Raw genomic sequence first — 18243 nt, 5'->3', positions numbered from 1 at the left:
TTTCCATGGCTTGTGTGTACTCACAAACACGCACACAGCTGATAACTCTGTGATCATCCTTCACTCACTTGTGAAAGTTGTTCTGCGGGTGGAGCCTATTAGTTTTTATCACACGCCTTTGGAAAGCCCTCGAAGTGATTTCTCGTATTTCAAACTTGGTTTTTAAAATTGCAACTTACTTTGTTCTCTTGGAGGGGGATATTGTCTTTGGGTCAGGTACTTTTGTCTTTTACTTATCCTTAAAATGTCCTTTTGATCCTAAACAGAAAAAGAATGCCTGGGTTGGTTTTGTTATTCCTTTCTCTTGACCCTTTAAAAGCAAAATACCACCAGTGTGTTGTCAACCATACCTTTAAAAAAGAAATTTCCAGGTAAAACGAATTTGCAAGCAGCATTTTCCATCAAAGTCATGTCTTGTTTGTTGCAATTTGGACTATCTTAAATTTGGGTTTGTGAAACTTTTAAAACGACATGTGTAAAATAATTGTTAATAAATAAATAACTTGGAATAATTACATCTTTTTAGAAATGGTCTTTGAAATGTGATTTAATTTCCAAAATTCTTTTTCTCTCTTCTGACTTCATATGAATTGAACCTGATAGTTTCGTATGAATGAATCGCTGATAGGATGTTTTCCTTGAGCCTAGTAATAAATTTGCTCTTATTATGCTGAAAATTTGCTATTCTACTTTAACACCCTTTAAAAAGTTTCCATCTTACAGAGAAGTTAGTCAAATAGTTAAATGGAGTTTCAACAGTTTTAATACATGAATTAGTGAAGCAGATGAAGCAGAGATGGGAGAAGTAATTTAAAATGGGCTTCATAAATGTACCATAGTTTGAGGGTATTTAAAAAATTTGCCTTCGGAAAACCCATACAAGATATTTAAAGAATTTCCTCTGCCAGAAGGTCATTTAGCAAACGTTTATATTAAATTCAAAAGTAATACTTTTATTTTTAAAGTTCCTTAGCCGTTGCCGTAAACTTAGCTGTCGTAGTAAATATAAATAGTTCACATCTTTCGGCATTTCTAAAGAGTGTGCCCACTTTTACTATAAATATTAAACTCTGCTGGATTTAATTGAGTTCAAGGCTGTTCACTGGCCAGGTTTAATTAATGTAATGTGATTGGAAACGTTCATTTTGGGGTTTTAGTAAGAAATTGCTCTTAGAGCTTGGTTTTTATACTTAGCCACACCTTCTAAAGTGCGGCCACAAGCATTGTAGGTGTTCAACAAAAGTTTGGGTTTTCAAGGTTGTAACCTACGTTTACTTAGTCATAAGTGGTCATGTCTCTACACAGTCTGTAAGTTTCATGAAATAATAGTCTTTTAAGAAACTGTGCAGGGTAATTTCCTGTTGTTTGTGTCTTATCAGGCTTGGTATGTGTTTTAACTCTTGTGTAGGAATATTGGGGATGGTTTTGGTATTTCAACAGAACTTTAGTAGGAACAAAGGTTGTTTCTATTCTACTTCAAGATGGCCAGAGGTTGTTGTCCCCTTTTCATTTTCACATTGTAAATATTAGAATCATGTTGCTATAATCTTTACTTCACATTTGGGGGAATATATGTCAATGGAAAAACTCGGTTTAGCTGTGTAAACCGCTGGCCAAAGACCTATTGAATTTTTACATTTTGCAAATACTGTCAGTTTTAAAAGTCTTTCCTTGTTCTTGTTTGGTTTTGATTCTGTTGGTTTTGTGCTTTAGGGCTCCAAAAACCTCGTTTTGTAGCAGCTTTTTTATACAGGTGTTTTTGTAATGCATATAAAAGCTGTATTTAGTGCAGTCTGGCAGATGGAGATTTATTCATATTCTTAGGACAAAGAGTCATTTTTAGAGGGTAGAGGGGGGCATGTCTTTTAGATTCTTAGTCTTTTGATGGGTGTAGAAGAGCCATTTTTAGGCCCTTAGTTTCTGTGAGAGGTAAGATGTTTTCCCCTAAGTATTCCAAAGGTATGTCAGAAAATGTGAAACGTAAGGAATTCACAACCAGTTAAGAGAGGTTATGAGAGATTATGCATTTATATATTTTATTTTATTTTATTTTGAGACGGAGTTCACTCTTGTTGCCCAGGCTGGAGTGCAATGGCACGATCTCGGCTCACCGCAACCTCCGCCTCCTGGGTTCAAGCGCTTCTCCTGCCTCAGCCTCCTGAGTAGCTGGGATTACAGGCATGCGCCACCATGCCTGGCTGATTTTGTATTTTTAGTAGAGACGGGGTTTCACCATGTTGGTCAGGCTGGTCTCGAACTCCCGACCTCAGGTGATCCGCCCACCTCGGCCTCCCAAAGTGCTGGGATTACAGGCGTGAGTCACCGCGCCTGGCCGATGCATTTATTTTCAACAAATACATTTATTCATTTATTCAACAAACAGCTTTTTCTGTGTGTCAGGCTCTGGACTAGGCAATAAAGTCTCTTAACAGCAAACAAGTACACCCCTGTTCCTTAATGGAGTTAGAAAAGTGGAAACTCATGTCCCTTGCCCTATTCTCCAGTGTTTAGAGTAAGACAGTTGTTAGTGTACAAATCAAGGGCACATGCATTACTGAGCCATTCCTAAAGTGAGCTTGCCTTGCTTCCTGTAACATGTAGCAGATAGCACTAGGGAAGATGTGAAGTGTTACTCAGTGTCACTGGGAACAATCTGTGTATTTTGGGGGGACCTTGGCACCAGTTTTGCACAGTCTATACAAACTGAAGATACGGCCAGTCTTTCAGAAACATGTTTATTGCTGAACAGATGTACACTTGTAGAGCTAAGCTTCATCTGACCTTAATTTGATCACTTATTGCCCTTTAATTACAGAAGCTGGTTAAGGAAAGAAAGCAGAGTTGAATAACTCAGTGAAAGGATCGGGAATAGTGTAAAAAGTTAGTTAAACCGAGACCCAGGATTGGACAGCAGTCTCATGTAGTGGAAAGGCCTTGGGTTTTGGAATCAGAGAGCCCTAGCCTAATATTTTGTTTCTCAGTTACAATACTGGGCAATTTACTACCAACCCCAGGCCCTTGGTTTTCTGACACAAAATGGAAGTACTAACCCCTTCCTCTTATTCAGTGATCACAATTCAAGTACCTAGAACATTGCCTGAGATATAAGGGTCCTCCCAAATGATTTCTTCCTCTCTTGTAGTTGTGGGTTTGTTACTTGGGCTCTTTCTAATCCAAATGATTTGCCTACACTGTTATTATGGACCTATTGTAAAATGTATTTGAGAAGCAGACAATGAACAACAAAGGCCTGGGATAGCCAAATTGTCCCAGTCCATAGCTTAAAGCTTAGGAGAGCCTTGGAGACCCTTAATAAGAATGTGTTGGCATTTATTTAAAGTGTTTCTAACAAGCAAAGTTATCTGGCTTCTAAACCTGCACTAGATTAGAAACAAGTAGATTATGGGTACTGTGGGAGGCTTAGAGGGGGTGTGGTGGGGGCTGGGGAGTAGGATGTTAGCCTAGTGTCTCTTGTCAGAAAAAACAGATAACAGCTCGGTGAGGATAATAGAGATAATCTACAAGACACAAAAATAGTCAAAGCCTGACTAGCATGTCTGGGGCCATTGAGTGCAGGACCAGACCTGAAAGCATAGTAATGAATGTTCATCAATTAGCCTAAATCATGTTTGGGAAAATCTTTTTAAGAGTGCAATAATCTACGTAATATACTTTAGATTGTCACTCAGGATGATTAAGAAATGTTCTTAAAGGGGTTGAAGATTGTGCTATAGCTTATGGCTTATTTCATGAAAGATCACAGTAGCTGTTATGACCAAGATGTTTTTCATTTGTTTTGCCATTCAGACAGCCATTCAGATTCCAAGCTGAAAGGGTAGCCAGCAGTAAAGAAAGGCTGTTTCAGTGTGGTAGCACCCTATGTCACCCCTTTCTTTGGTGTAAGTAATTTTTTTGTCAGTCTGCAGGAGTATCATATAAATTTTCACTTGTGCTTTGACAGTAGTGTATGCTTTTCACTGTGTTTTGAGATAGAGTATGCTCGAGATTTCTAGGATAAAGCAAGAGTGGATAGTTGGCCAGTCTCTCTGTTGAGGGTTTCTTGACTCTTGTCATGTGACTTCTGCCCAGTATTAGCACTGATAATTTTTTTGATCCCCTTTCTTGTAACCTTACCTCAGGGTTACTTCTTAAACCATCTACACCATCAGATAATTATTGGTGACCTTGTAATATGTAGCCTTGGCTGTTTTTAAGAATCAGGTTTTTTTTTAGCAGTAGTACAAAAGTACTAGCCTTTTTGGTTTAAAAATGCATAGTTAGAGGCTTATTGCTTGTCATTGATCAATTTTGATCATTTTTTCAGGTTGGTGTAATTGTGATGTATTCAGTTAGGACATAATTCAATGTTGATTCTAGATTTACATCTCAAAGATAGCTCGCAGCTTCAGTTCAGCAATTTCATGTAGGGAGAATATAATTTTTCCAAGCCAGGTGGATTTAGACACTGCCTTTAGTTTGGTCAGATAGCCAGAAATATTAGGGCAATTCTGTGTCTTCTGTGCTTGCCTCACATTGTACAGTGTGAGTGGTTCTCCTTGGCTCAGTGGGTTCCTCTTATTTGTAACTGAGGCACATTGATAGGACAGGTGCTTGATGTATCTTTAGGTTTGTAGTCTTAAGAAAATAGAAATTCTGACGTGATTAATTCTTATCAAAGTTTGTGAATTTACTGTGAAATTGTCACTAATTATCCTAGGTAGCCCTGTCATTTTTCAAAATCTGGTTTTACATTGGCCTCAAGGCTGTAGAGTAGTGGAAAGCGAGGATAGACTTTAGTTGCTTCTGTTTAGTACACGTGTCTACCTTAATGTAAAAATTTGCATTTCCTTGAATAATCTACAGTGTCATACCTTCCCTCATTTTGTGGGGAAGGGGGATGTAGTTTCACATTTAATGTATTCAGTAGGAATAATCTTGGGTGAACCACTGGTATTCCATCTGTTCATTAGTTTGAGTCTCTTAAGTCAAAAAAGACTCTTGATCTGAGGAAGTAGCATAGTGAATCTGTGATCTTATAGTTTGCCTATGTTTAAAAGTAAACTACATTTTCATATGCTGCTTCAGCTACTTCCAGAAATTCTGTAGAGACATAATGGTTAAGGTCTTGTAAATATCAAGGAAACGTTCCATCCTCATCACGTCTTTCATTTCAGAATGTGAGGTGGTGAGGCCGGAGGCAGTGGCTCACGCCTGTAATCCCAGCACTTTGGGAGGCTGAGGCGGGCGGATCACTTTGAGGTCAGGAGTTTGAGACCAGCCTGGCCAACATGGTGAAACCTTGTCTCTACTAAAAATGCAAAAATTAGCTGGGTGTGGTGGCGGGTACCTGTAGTCCCAGCTGCTCAAGAGGCTGAGGTAGGAGACTTGCTTGAACCGGGGAGGCCGAGGTTGCAGTTAGCCGAGATCCCGCGACTGCTCTCCAGCCTGGGAGACAGAGCAAGACTCCGTCTCAAAAAAAAAAAAGAAAAAAAAGAAAATGTGGGGTGGCAAATCTTTTTTGCAGAGCCTCCTATATAAAATCCTCATAAATGATGCAGTGGAAGCTGGGCCCGTGAGCCTTCTGCCTTGACTTGAGTGAACTATTGAAACTCTTTTGTTGACTAGAGATACTTTATCTGTGGTAGTAAATGTAAATTTTCCTTATTGAGATCCACTTTTAAAATTCTTTTTTTTTTTTTTTTTGAGACGGAGTTTTGCTCCTGTTGCCCAGGCTGGAGTGCAGTGGTGCGATCTTGGCTCACTGCAACCTCCGCCTCCTAGGTTCAAGCAGTTCTCCTGCCTCAGCCTCCTGAGTAGCTAGGATTACAGGCATGCGCCACCATGTCCGGCTAATTTTGTATTTTTAATAGAAACGGGGTTTCACCATGTTGGTCAGGCTGGTCTCGAACTCCTGACCTCAGGTGATTCGCCCACCTTGGCCTCCCAAAGTGTTGGGATTACATGCGTGAGCCACTGCGCCCGGCCTAAAATTCTTAATAGACAGGTAGTTAGGTTGTAGTTCATGTTAGCTGATCAATTAAACTTTTTTTTAAAAAATGTTTTAGTTATCAGGAGGGTCCAGCTTTGGCCTGAGGTTGTGCATTGGCCATTTCTGCTCGAAACCAGTAGTAGTCAGACTTAAAACATGTGCACACCTGCACACACAGCAGCAACTAGAAAGCCTTTAGAGAGAAATATGCAGAATTTCGAAATGTAAAACAGATAAAAGGAGTAAAGCTGTTTTGTGGAAGGAAGAATAGGCAGTTGTTGAAGTCCTGCCTGATCAGTTTTCCTCTCATCCTCACCACCAGGAAGCCTTTGAAGCACAGCTGAAGAACAGTAGGTCTTGGAGAAATTTTTGCTGTAGACCTGCTCTATCTTAACAGGTAGCTGCCAGCCACATGTGGCTATTTAGCACTTGAAATGTGGCTGCTGTGACTGAGAAACTGAATGTTAAATTTTACTTAATCTAAATTTAGATAGCCATATGCAGCTGATGGCTACTGTATTAGACAGCACAGATACCCAAGGACATTTACATCATTGTATAAAGTTGTGTTGGGTGGCACTACTCTAGACTTTGCTTTAATTGAGCTTTTATGGCCTGAGGACCCCACTCACGTGAATTGACGTGGTATTAGTTGCTGCTTCAGAAGAGGGTCAGGATAGACTTTGGGAATTTGAAGAGCAATTAGAGTACTTGTACTTTATATTTGTGCTGATTTGAGTCTGGGCCTGTGTAGTGTTGTCATAGGTGCTTTTTTTTTTTTTTTAATAATCTGGGAATGATAAACCAATATGTAAGTTACGTGTTTACAAGTTGATTATAGAGTTGTGGATTCCACAAAACTCATTATAGGTGATAGGAATATAACTCTTAGTTAAAAAAAAAAAAATAAGTAGTCTCTTTACACAGCAGTCCCTATTTAATGTGGACTTTTGCTAAAATAATAATTTTCTTGAATTAAATTCAAGCTTGCATTAGGTTTGACAGTCCATAAAGTTGAACACATGAATGTTTTCTGTTTGCTTTTGTTTAAAAGACATGACCCATCATTCTCCATGGGGGCCGACCTAGGTTTCCAGTTGGCAGTGTCTTTCCTTACTAGCTTACGCTTTGGAGAGAACATAGTTGTAGTGAGAATTGAAAAATCTGTTTTTAAAAAATTGGGTTTTATGTATTTTAATTTTTTTGAGGTTTTCTATTATCCTGGTTACTAATGAATTATTTATTTGACTAAAACAGTTATACAATTCCAGGTCATTGATGCTGCTGTTTTTTTCTCTGCCTTGTAGTATGTTTGAACATAGATTGCTAAAAATCTCGGTCTCCACAGAGGATTGGTTCCGGGACTCTCCTGCAAGCACCAGAATATGAGAACGCTGAAGTCCCTTGTATAAAATGGTGTAGAATTTGTTTTATGCACATTTTATTGTTATTCTTTAAATCCTCTCTAGATTACTTAATATCTAATACAATGTAAATAGTTGTTATTCTATATTGTTTTAGAAATGATGAGAAAAAAGTCTGTACATGTTCAGTACAGTCACAGTTTTTTCCTGAATATTTTTTATCCATGGTTGGTTTAATCCATGTATTTGGAACCCACAGATAAGGAGGATTGACTGCACAGTGATTTTATATTATTTCTAGTGGGACCTTAGATGTTCTAGATGAGGCAGCACCATCATATTTAAAGTATTTTTGTTGAAATAATTAACTTTGGTTTTCTTTCTAAATAAAAATTCACATAGGTATTTGGGGAATATTTTGTATTTTCCTGCAGTTTGAAGATTTGAAATTTCTCTTCCCTCCATACCTTTTAAAAGTGCAATCTACTTTTGCTTTCTACATTTAATCACTATCTGTTCTTGACTTCAACTTTGCAAACATATTTTTTAACCATTCTTTTTCACATTTCCCTTCCTACTGGCCTTCCGGATGAACTGTCAAGTTTAGCAGTCTTTTCTCAGTGATCATACTTTCTTCAGTGTTTGCTGTTATTGTTTATACTGTCTTTATCTAAATTTCTTAAAATGACACAGACACAAGTTAGGCCCATTCTTCTTACTGTAAACAGATGAAAATGTTGGATAAAATATAAAAGTTTTCTCTTATGTATACAGTTGATCTTGAGAGAGAAAGTGCCCAGGTACTAGAAACTTAGAAAAATCAGTCAACTTTAAGGGAAGTGTGGCCTTGGGGGATTTACTAGAGATAAGATTCAGTAGTTGGGGCTGAGGTTATAATGCCATTCAATGAAAGGAGACAGAACTGTGGGAACTGTGTGCTTAAAAAAATTAAAAAATGAAAAGTGTTCTGGTATCATTGAAACATCTGGGGCTTCTTGGAGAAAGAAGCCTCAGACCTCTCTATGGAGGAACTGGAAAAACAGTAGGCTTTAGATGGACTTTAATATCACAGCAAGGCAAGGCAGGGTACATGAAAACATCTACAGCTGCATGTGGAATAGTGAATTTTTGTATACATAATCCATGACTGCAATCCAAAATTCAGGGATACCCAGTGAAGAGTCTCTTTACTGGTCTGTTCTTTGCCATACAGTTGCCTTTTCAAAGGCAAGTAGCTTTACTAGGTTTTTGTGTGGTGTTCCAGAGATTTTATGCATCTATGAACAATTTTGTGTGTATATTACCTTTTAGTACAAGTGGTCACATATGTCACTTAATAGTACATCTTATTTTGTGTCAGTATGTAATGAATGCCTTTCTTCTTTTTTGGAGTAGTGGGTTGTATAATATTCTTTTGTATGGGTGTCTGTAAATTTTTTTTTGAGACAGTGTCTCACTCTGTCACCCAGGCTGGAGTGCAGTGGTGTGATCACAGCTCACTGCAACCTTGACTGCCAGGGGTCAAGTTAATCTCCCACCTCAGCTACCTGAGTAGTTGGGACTGCAGGCGCATGCCTACCATATCCAGCTAATTTTTAAAATTTTTTGTAGAGGTGGGGTTTCGCCATGTTGCCTAGATTTGTCTTGAACTCCTGGGCTCAAGCGATTTGCCTGCCACGGCCCCTCAAAGTTTTGGGATTACAGGCGTAAGCCACTGTGCCTGGCCGGGTGTCTGAATATATCATCAGTCCTCTGTTGAATGTTTCCAGTCTTGTGGTATTAAAAACAATGCTACAACAAATAACTTCGTTTATATAGCATTTTGCTCCTTTGCAGGTATGTCTGTAAGATAGATTTCTAGGAGTAGTTCAAAGAATATCTACATTTGTAATTTATTTTAGAGAATGTACTTTATTCATTTTTTCGAATAACACATGCACATGGTATAAAAGTCAAGGAGAACAAAATAGCAAATACTGAAAAAAGTAAGCCTCCTTTACATCTCCTACCTCCTGCTGCCCAGTTGTGCTTTCCAGAAATGTAACCACTGTTACTAGCTTTTCGTTTATCCTTCTAGAGTTGCTCTGTCCAGTATGATAGCCACTAGCCACCATGTGGCTATTGAGCTCTTGAAATTGAGATGGACCACAAGCATAAAATACACACCAATTTTCTAACAGTACAAAAACAGAATGTTAAATATTTCAATGGTTTTTAATACGGATTGCGAATTGAAATAGTATTTTGGATATATTGGGTTAGATTAATAAAATTATTAAATTATGATTTCATCTTGTAATTCCCGCTGTGATGGCATCAGGAAATGGGATCTTTGGGAGATATTGAGGTCAGGAGGGTAGAGCCCTCATGAATGGGATTAGTGCCTTTATAAAAGAGACCGTTGTTAGCATTCTGTCCTCCATGTGTAGATACCTGAAAAAAGCGGCAGTCTGCAACCCAGAAGAGGGCCTTACTTGGAACCTAACCATGCTGGTACCCTGATCTCGGACTTGCAGCCTCCGGAACTGTGAGAAATAAATTTCTGTTGTTTATAAGCCACCTAGTCTGTAGTACTTTGTTATACCGTCCTGAACTGACTAAAGCACACCAATTTTTACTTTTTTAATGTGGCTGATAGAAAATTTAACAATATGTGGTTTGCATCCTGTTTCTGTTGGATAGCACTGGTCTAAAGAAATCCATACATATATAAACATGTACTAACATAAGAATTCCACTTAGGCAAAATTTTTTTCTTTTGCGTTGTAATCTTTGGAATCAGAAATCTGCTGAGATATTGGTAAAGAGTGGTACAAAGCTGTTCTTTATGGCCCCATCAGTCACCCCCATCCATTTATCATTTGGCTCTAATCAGTGAAGGTTATGCTTCCATTGACTTCTACAGTGTTCACTTTGGAGAGAAGGCTGCCGTTGTTTTGGCTTCGTCTTTTTTAGCTTGCTCCGATTTGCACTGGTTGCCTCTACACCTAGTACGCCGCAGTCATTCTGAGATTTCCCCCTCACTAGCATATTAGGGATTGCCTTCATTTTTTCTTCTTTGTTAGATCTCCTATTCTTTGTGTGTGTGTGTGTGTGTGTGTGTGTGTGTGTGTGTGTGTGTGTGTGTGTATTTTTTTTTTTGAGACAAGGTCACACTCTGTTGTCTAGTTGGAGTGTAGTAGGGTGATCATGGCTCACTGCAGCCTTGCACTCCTGGGTTCGAGTGTAGATCGTATTCCTTTTTGTTTTACTAGTATCTCCTTTTGATGAGACATATTCTTCAGGACCTTCCTGGAGAGTGTGTTGGGGGTGGGGCGGTAAATACTTGGAGATGTTGCATGTCTGAAAATGCCTTTGTTCTGGCTAACATAAGTCTAGGTTGGAAATTTTTTTTTGAAAAATTATGAAGCCCAGAATTACGAAGCCATTGCTCTCTTGACTTTGTTTACAGTATACTGTTGACAAAACCAAAGCCATTTTGATTGTTTTCTATATAACCTATTTTTTTTCCTCCTTGGAAACTTTAAGCCCTTTCTTTGTCTTTGGCATTCTGGTTTTGCTACCATGGGCCTTCATGTAGGTTTGTTTTCATCTGTTTTACTGGGGTCTTGATGGGCCCTTTCCATCTAGAAACTCCCATCTTTCAGTTCAGGGGCTTTTTCTTAATTTATCTATTTGACTCCCCTACTCTGCATCTCTGTTTGGAACTGTTGTTGGGACATTGGACCTCTGGAACCAGTCTTCCAATTTTTTTCATTTTCTCTACTGTTTCCCATCTTTCTTTTCTACTTTCTGGAAGATTTCTTCTACTTTATCTTCTAGCACTTCTATTGATTTTTTTCCCCCGTTTCTGCTGTCAAGCTATGCAAGAGCTGTTAAGTTCTCTGAATGCTGCCTTTGAGAGCATGCTGCTCTTTCTTCAGGGTTGCTCAGTCTTATTTCTCTGGCCATGTTGATGTTTTAAAAATGTTTTCTTTCTCTGTATAGTCTTTTCCTGAAGCTGAATTTTTCTGGTTTTGTTTGACGTTTTTCCTCAGATAAAGTAATTCTTAAGAAGTGGGGATCTAAAAAGCTGATCAAAAACTCAACATGTGGGTGAAACTTGTCTCCTTTCAGTTTCACTGGAGAGGGATCTGAGCAGGCAGGCTGTTTGTTGGTAAACTCCCAATATTAGCATCTATATGCCTTTCCTCCTGGGTCGGTCAGGTACCCTAGTGAAGTCTTTTGATCTGAATAACTGGGCGGAGGTCTGGCTGCTAGTATTTGGGAGCCAAAACCCAGTGGAGGAAGGGGTTTGGGAGTCGACATTTAACACAGCGTGCTCATGTTCATTCACACCCTCTTTTCTTCCTACTTATACCCAGGCCATCTCCTAGTCCAGGGATTTTGTTTTCCCCTTTGCAGAAAGTAAACGTTGAGGCAGAGGATTAGTTATCCAGAGACAGTAGGGGCGGAAATCTAAGAACTGAATTCCTTTCTACAAAGCTCTTAACAAGTGCTACCTATTATTCCTTCCCCTGCCTGGCCCTCAGTTCCTGCCGTGACTTGCTGTTGGTTCCTTAACTTTTTGAGGTTTCTGTGTTAATCAATGGTTTTCAGCTTTTCCTACAGCTAGCCTAGAGTTAGTAGTTTCTGATCTGTTCAATTACTGCTCACCCATTTTCCAGCCATTAAAATTTTGCTTCTGTTTTCTCCTTACCTCTTCTCCCTATCCTCATGAGGTTTCTGGTTTTTAAAAATTCCCTTGGTTAGGCGTGGTGGCTCATGCCTGTAATCCTAGCACTTTGGGAGGCTGAGGCAGGAGGATTGGTTGAGTCCAGGAGTTCAAGCCTAGACAACATAGGGAGAACCCATATCTTAAAAAAAAAATTCTTTATGGTTTTCAATAGGCTGTTTTCATCTACAATGCAATGATGAGTTAAAGTTTTCCATTAAAAATTTTTTTACCAATAACTCTCCAAAAGAATTGAAATAGAATAACGTATAACTCCAAGTCAGTGGGGATGAGGGGTGGAAATAAAGAGAAATTGATCACTCCAGTATAAGGCAGGGAAGAAGAAAAAAGAAAAGAAAAATGCATAGGTATTAGAAAACACAAAATAAGATGGTAGAAAATAAGCTGAAATATCTCCATAAACCCAATATGTAATCTCAGATTAAACTTGCTGGCTAAAGGAGAACAAAAATTTAAAAAATCCAACCAACTGTATTTTACAAGTGGAGATACTCCTAAAAGTATGATGACATAGTTTAAAAGCAAAGGAATGGAAAAGATATACTAGGTGTAATTTATAAGGTAAAATTGGAAGAATTACAGGTATAAATCAAATCTATAATCGTAGTAGAAAATTTTAATATACCTCTCAGTAATTTATGAAAGGGTAGATTTAAAAAACTACAAGGTTATGAAGGATTGGAAGAGTACAATTAGCAAGCACCCAACAATTACAGAAGATACATTCTGTAAGGGGAATCGCTTGAACCCAGGAGGCAGAGGTTGCAGTGAGCCGAGATCATACCACTGCACTCCAGGCTGGGCGACAGAGCGAGACTCCGTCTCAACAACGACAACAAAAATAGTGTCAGCGAGACTCTGTCTCAACAACGACAACAACAAAAATAGTGTCTTTGATTTAGTGCATGTAACTAAGTTGAAAAGAGTGCCAAGACTGATAGAGGAGAAAAAGAATGTACAAATGTATTGGAAATGAAGGGATGGTATAACTGCAGACAAACTGAGATTTTAAAACTGCAAGAATACTGTGAACAGTTTTATTTCTTTAAATTTGGAAACAGGTAAAGTGGACAATTTCTAGCAAAACAAATTACCAAGTTGGCTTAATAAGAATTAGAAACTTCACTAGATTATGATTTAAAAACTTAGTCATGTTTAGAAATATACCTATACCAGGCGGGGCATGGTGGCTACCACTTTGGGAGGCCAAGGTGGGCGATCACTTGAAGTCAGCAGTTTGAGACCAGCCTGGCCAACATGGTGAAGCCCTATCTCTATCAAAAATACAAAAATTAGCCAAGCATGGTTGCAGTCGCCTGTAATCCCAGCTAATCAGGTGGCTGAGGCAGAGCCCAGGAGACAGAGGTTGCAGTGAGACAAGATCGTGCCACTGCACTCCAGCCTGGGCGACAGAGTGAGACTCTGTCTCAAAACAAAACAAAACAAAACAAAATAAATAAATAAATATACCTGTACCAATGTAAAATTTTAAGTCCTCAAGCAAAACACCAGACTACAAATGAAGACCCCGTATGGGCAAGTGCAACCAAACGTGAGGGATTAACTCTAATCTTATACAAAATGTTACAGAAAAATTATTTTGCAAGGCTACTATAATCTTGATACCCCAACCAGATAGTGTGAGAAGGGGATATAGGCTGCATTCTCACCAAAGAACATGGCAATAAAAATTGTAGTTTGTAAAATGTTAGTATTTACTCAAAACAAAAATACCATGACTAATTAGGGTTTGTCTCAGGAATGTAGGGATGATTAAGCATTAGAAAACTCGTAAATGAAATTCATCATGTTAACACATTAAAGGAGAAAGGCCATATGATAATTTTGATGGACAACGGGAAAGCATATGATAACATTTAGTACTTGTTCATGACAAAAATTCTTAGGAAATGAATACAAGAGAACTTTCAAAAGGGTGTTAAAAAACACAGAAGAGTACATACGGTATAATTCCATCTATATGAATTTCTGGAACAGGTAAAATTAATAGTAATAGAAGTCAGTAGTTGCCTGACGGGGGAAGGTGGATTGACTGAAAAGGAACGTAAGGGAGACATCTGAGGTGCTGGAAATGTTGTTTTTTTGGGGATTGTGGTTACATTAGTGTAAACATTTGTTAGAATTATTGATTTCATGCCCACTCACGGTTCGCGACCCTCAGTTTAGAGAAATTGTAGAGTGCAGCATATGGTGAAATGTCTTTTTTAGCAAAGTGTGTGTGTATATACTAGGTTGCATGTAAAATGTACTTTTCACTGTGGGACTTTTTTTGGTTAAAAAGTTTGAAAGTTTGAAATTTTCTGCCCTAGAAGAGCTTTTACATGGTATAAAATGATATATACCAGCCTATTCATAGCAGGTTGTGAGAGAGGAAAATTGGAAACCTAACTAGTCATCCAGAGTGAATGGACAGTGAACTGTGCTAGTCATAAAATGGAATGCCATGTGACAGCTAAAATGAATGAACTAGGATTTAGGATTATGTATGTATCAGCATGGACTGAACAGTATCACACTTTCATATAAATTTATAAAATGTACAGAACTGTATTGTATGGATACAATATGTAGCAAAACTGTTAAATGACCATGGGGGAACATCAGGATAGTGATAATCTCTGAGAAGCAAGAGGGAGGGAAATGTTATCAAAGAGGAATACATAGGGGGCTTTAGCTGTATTCGTATCTTATTTCTTATGTCTGATCAAGTACTGCAAAATGCTAAGATATGACAGCTAGATGGAAAGTACATGAGTGTTGAGTGTAATATTTTTGTGTAATTAAAGTCCCCATTTACAATAAAAACCAAGATACCTGGAGAAATAAGTAAATTTGACAAGATGTAAGATTTTTTATGGAGAAAATATGCAACTTATCAATAGATAATAAATAAATGGAAATACTCATTTGCATAGTCGGAGTACTTGATATCATAAATATGTTCTCCATAAACTAATATAAATTCATTGCACTTCCAATCAAAATCCTATAGGATTTTTGTAGAACATGCTAAACTTAAAGTAACCAGCAATACTACACATCTGAAAAATAAGGAAGGGGGGTCACCCTGACAAATATCAAGACTAACTAGAAAGCAGTAGTAATTAATATTTTCTTACATTGATGTTAAGTGTGAACAAATAACAGAATGCGTGTGATCAGACCTTTAGTAGGAATTTGTTATGCGACAGAAGTGGCATTATGACTTAGCAAAAGGTAAGCTTTAATACACAGGCTGTCCTTATGAGAGATGGTTAGATCACTGTCTCACCTCTTAAAACCAAATTTCTGATCTTTCTTTTAGAAACTTAATATGAAAAGTAAACTAAAGCATCCATAAGAATATCTAGAGGGGATTCTCTGTATTACGTCAGGGTATTTATTTGTGCCTCACATTCTTCATTTGTAAATAATAGTACCTAACCCCAGTTGGTTCTTAGGATTCGGAATTCTTGCTTACTGGACTCTTAGGCTTAAGCACTCAATAAATGTTTCCTACTATATTTAGAGGCACAGCAAGATTTCTTTGAAAAGCAAGGTTGTGGCATAAAAGATTTTTAATTAAAATACAGCTTTGTGTGTTCCAAAAGACAACATAAAATGAAAAGTCATTCTAAGGATTTGGAGATTTTTTTGTAATACATACTCAGTGATAGGGTTTATGTCAGAATAAAAACAGTAAGAAAAGGACCACATAGTTGAGGACTCTGGAAAGAGTATGCACTGTTGTTTAATTAAATGTGCAGAGAATGCTATTTGTCAAACTATAATATAGAGTTAATAACTTGAAGGCTTTACTACAAGTTCAGGATAATTAGACCTCTTACCTTATTGAAACTTTCCGGTGAGTAATCGTAGAATCCTAATTTTACTAAGGTATCATTTGGTAAGCTGACTTATTCAGCTGTAAAGATAGTCTTTGTGTTCTTTTGAAATCTGCATTATGTAAGTATCACTTATTGCTGGAATTAGAAATAGTGTCTGAACTTAGATTTCAATTCTTGCAGATGTTGAAAATTTATTTCAGTAGAGAACTTGCTGCCACACCATTGAAGGAAATCTGTATATTCTGTAAATGACTCATTCACGTTTTGATAGCAACTTGATTATAAATCTAGTTTTCTTTTTTGTATTTCATTTGTTTTTAACCTGGAACACATTGTTATCTGTTCCTTGTCAGCCTACATTCAGTCTATTTACACTTCAAAAATATTGGCTAAAAATGCTTCAGTTTTTAAAATAAAAGCTTAACTAATTGAAGATGTATTATCAGCATTACTTACAACAAATGTTATTTTATTACATAATTTAAAAATTCTCCGGAGATATTAGACAGATGTCAGCCAACCATGGTTACTGAGACATGCAAAGGTAAGGCTGGCAACTTTAAGTGTTCACTTAGTTCCAAAATGGTTTTAACTCCTCTTGTAAGACATGGGACACTGAAATCATGTGGCAATACCAGGTCATGTGGCCATTCAGATGACCCAGAATAGGCCTAAACTTAAGTTAGTTTCATTTCAGTGAAGAAACAATATTGTAAAGGTTTTATAGAAAACTTTTAGATCCCCAGGAATACAGCTTAACTCATAAGAAACATTTCTCCTAACGAAAGTGTAACAGGCTGGGCGCTGTGGCTCATGCCTGTAATCCCTGTGCTTTGGGAGGCCGAGGCGGATGGATCATCTGAGGTCAGGAGTTTGAGACCAGCCTGGCCAATATGGTGAAACCCCATCTCTACTAAAAACACAAAAAATTAGCCGAGCGTGTTGACGCGTGCCTGTAATCCCAGCTACTCCGGAGGCTGAGGCAGGAGAACTGCTTGAACCTGGGAGGTGGAGGTTGCAGTGAGCTGAGGTCACGCCATTGCACTCCAACCTGGGCAACAAGAGTGAAACTCCTCAAAAAAAAAAAGTGTTACAGAAACTGTTTACTCTCATTCCTCCTAATGCTGGAAATCCCTTTTTTTTTTTTTTTTTTTTTTGCTGTTTATACAGAAGTTTCATTTTTTATTCTTTTTTTAGGCTAAATTCTTATGAATGGAATAATTGAACCAAAGATACAGATACTTGTAGGGAGATTCTTTTATTTTGCTTTTTCTATCAGTTTTTCACAAGGAACAGAGAGATTACTCATGCTAACTCAAAAAGAGGTTTTGTTCTGAGGATATAATTGTGGAGCTGGAACAGGCCTGGACAGTCCTCAGAAACCAAGCCTAGAGATTGGCTGCTCTGCTTTTCTTCAAGACACCAGTTGTCTCTGCCTAGCTCTGGCACACACTCTTACTTGTACACTGACTGCTAGCTCCCCTGAGTCTACTATATTTTATGCTGCCTCCTGGCCATGTGATGAACATAGTTACTTACATAAAGGCATGTATAAAACTGACCCTTTAGCCTTCAGGGTTGCTTCTCTTTCCTCATTCCTAATAGTGATGAATGTACCATTACATGCCACTCAGTTACATTAGGTAGTCGGTCACATTAGTTGTGTTTCAATCCTTTTCCCTAAACTGCACGTCCAGTAGGTCATTCAAAATGCAAATTGTCACTGGAATAAATGAAGTAATACTCCTATCATTAGCAGTAATTTCTGTCTTCAGCTCTTTAATCTGCACTGGCCTTATTTTCCCCTCATCTTCTGCCACAGTGCTTCCTGTGCACCGTATTTTAGTGATAACCTAAATTTTTCGTCTCTCCTAAAACGTTTCCTGTCTTTAGAAAACATGCTGAACTTTCTGCCTGCTGTACTATCTCTCTCAATACTTGTGCTCTGGTGTCAACTTTAGTGTCACCTTTCCCTTCCAAAGGTTGAATCCTGTTCTCTGTGCTAGGATAAGACTGTGTCACATGATACTACGGTGTCTGTAGTTGGCTCCTCTAGAGCATACTTTGTGGCACAGAGTAGGAATCCAACAGGGGCCAAAGGTAGCCAAGTACACTTTTTGCTGCCTGATAGTCCCAGGTTATTAGTTGGTAGATGATTACATGCGTTTGATGGAGTTTTGTGTATTTGCTTTATTTTATCAAGTTACATACTACAGTGCTTATTTATGTGTCGTATTATAGGTCTACCACTATAGACAGTTTAACCGGGCTGTTAAGTTCACTGTTGCTCTTTTATTTGCATTACAG

At 38.1% G+C, this 18243-nt stretch overlaps 1 protein-coding gene across 6 annotated transcripts in view, besides 1 other annotated feature; it reads left to right on the top strand.

Moving 5' to 3' along the window:
• SMAD2 (SMAD family member 2) overlaps nucleotides 1-18243 on the top strand; it is a 121916-nt gene that overhangs the window by 921 nt on the left and 102752 nt on the right. The window contains exon 3 of one of the 6 annotated variants that reach the window (XM_047437507.1): nucleotides 9783-9880. The exons of the other annotated variants lie outside the window; for them this stretch is intronic. The gene's annotated coding sequence lies outside the window, so the exon portion shown is untranslated. The remainder of the gene's footprint in view (nucleotides 1-9782; nucleotides 9881-18243) is intronic. 6 annotated transcript variants of the gene reach the window in all.
• Nucleotides 10976-11588: an enhancer, noted in NCBI's record as "NANOG-H3K27ac hESC enhancer chr18:45444735-45445347 (GRCh37/hg19 assembly coordinates)". NCBI's record gives its function as "activates a minimal SCP1, AML or CMV promoter by ChIP-STARR-seq in naive H9 embryonic stem cells {active_cell/tissue: H9 hESC(naive)}" and the evidence as "EXISTENCE:reporter gene assay evidence [ECO:0000049][PMID:30033119]".

This window comes from Homo sapiens, chromosome 18 (assembly GCF_000001405.40).
Source record: "Homo sapiens chromosome 18, GRCh38.p14 Primary Assembly".
NCBI classification, from domain to species: Eukaryota; Metazoa; Chordata; class Mammalia; order Primates; family Hominidae; genus Homo; species Homo sapiens.
The sequence above is the reverse complement of the archived record's forward strand: the minus strand, read 5'-3'. Positions and strand labels throughout refer to the sequence as shown.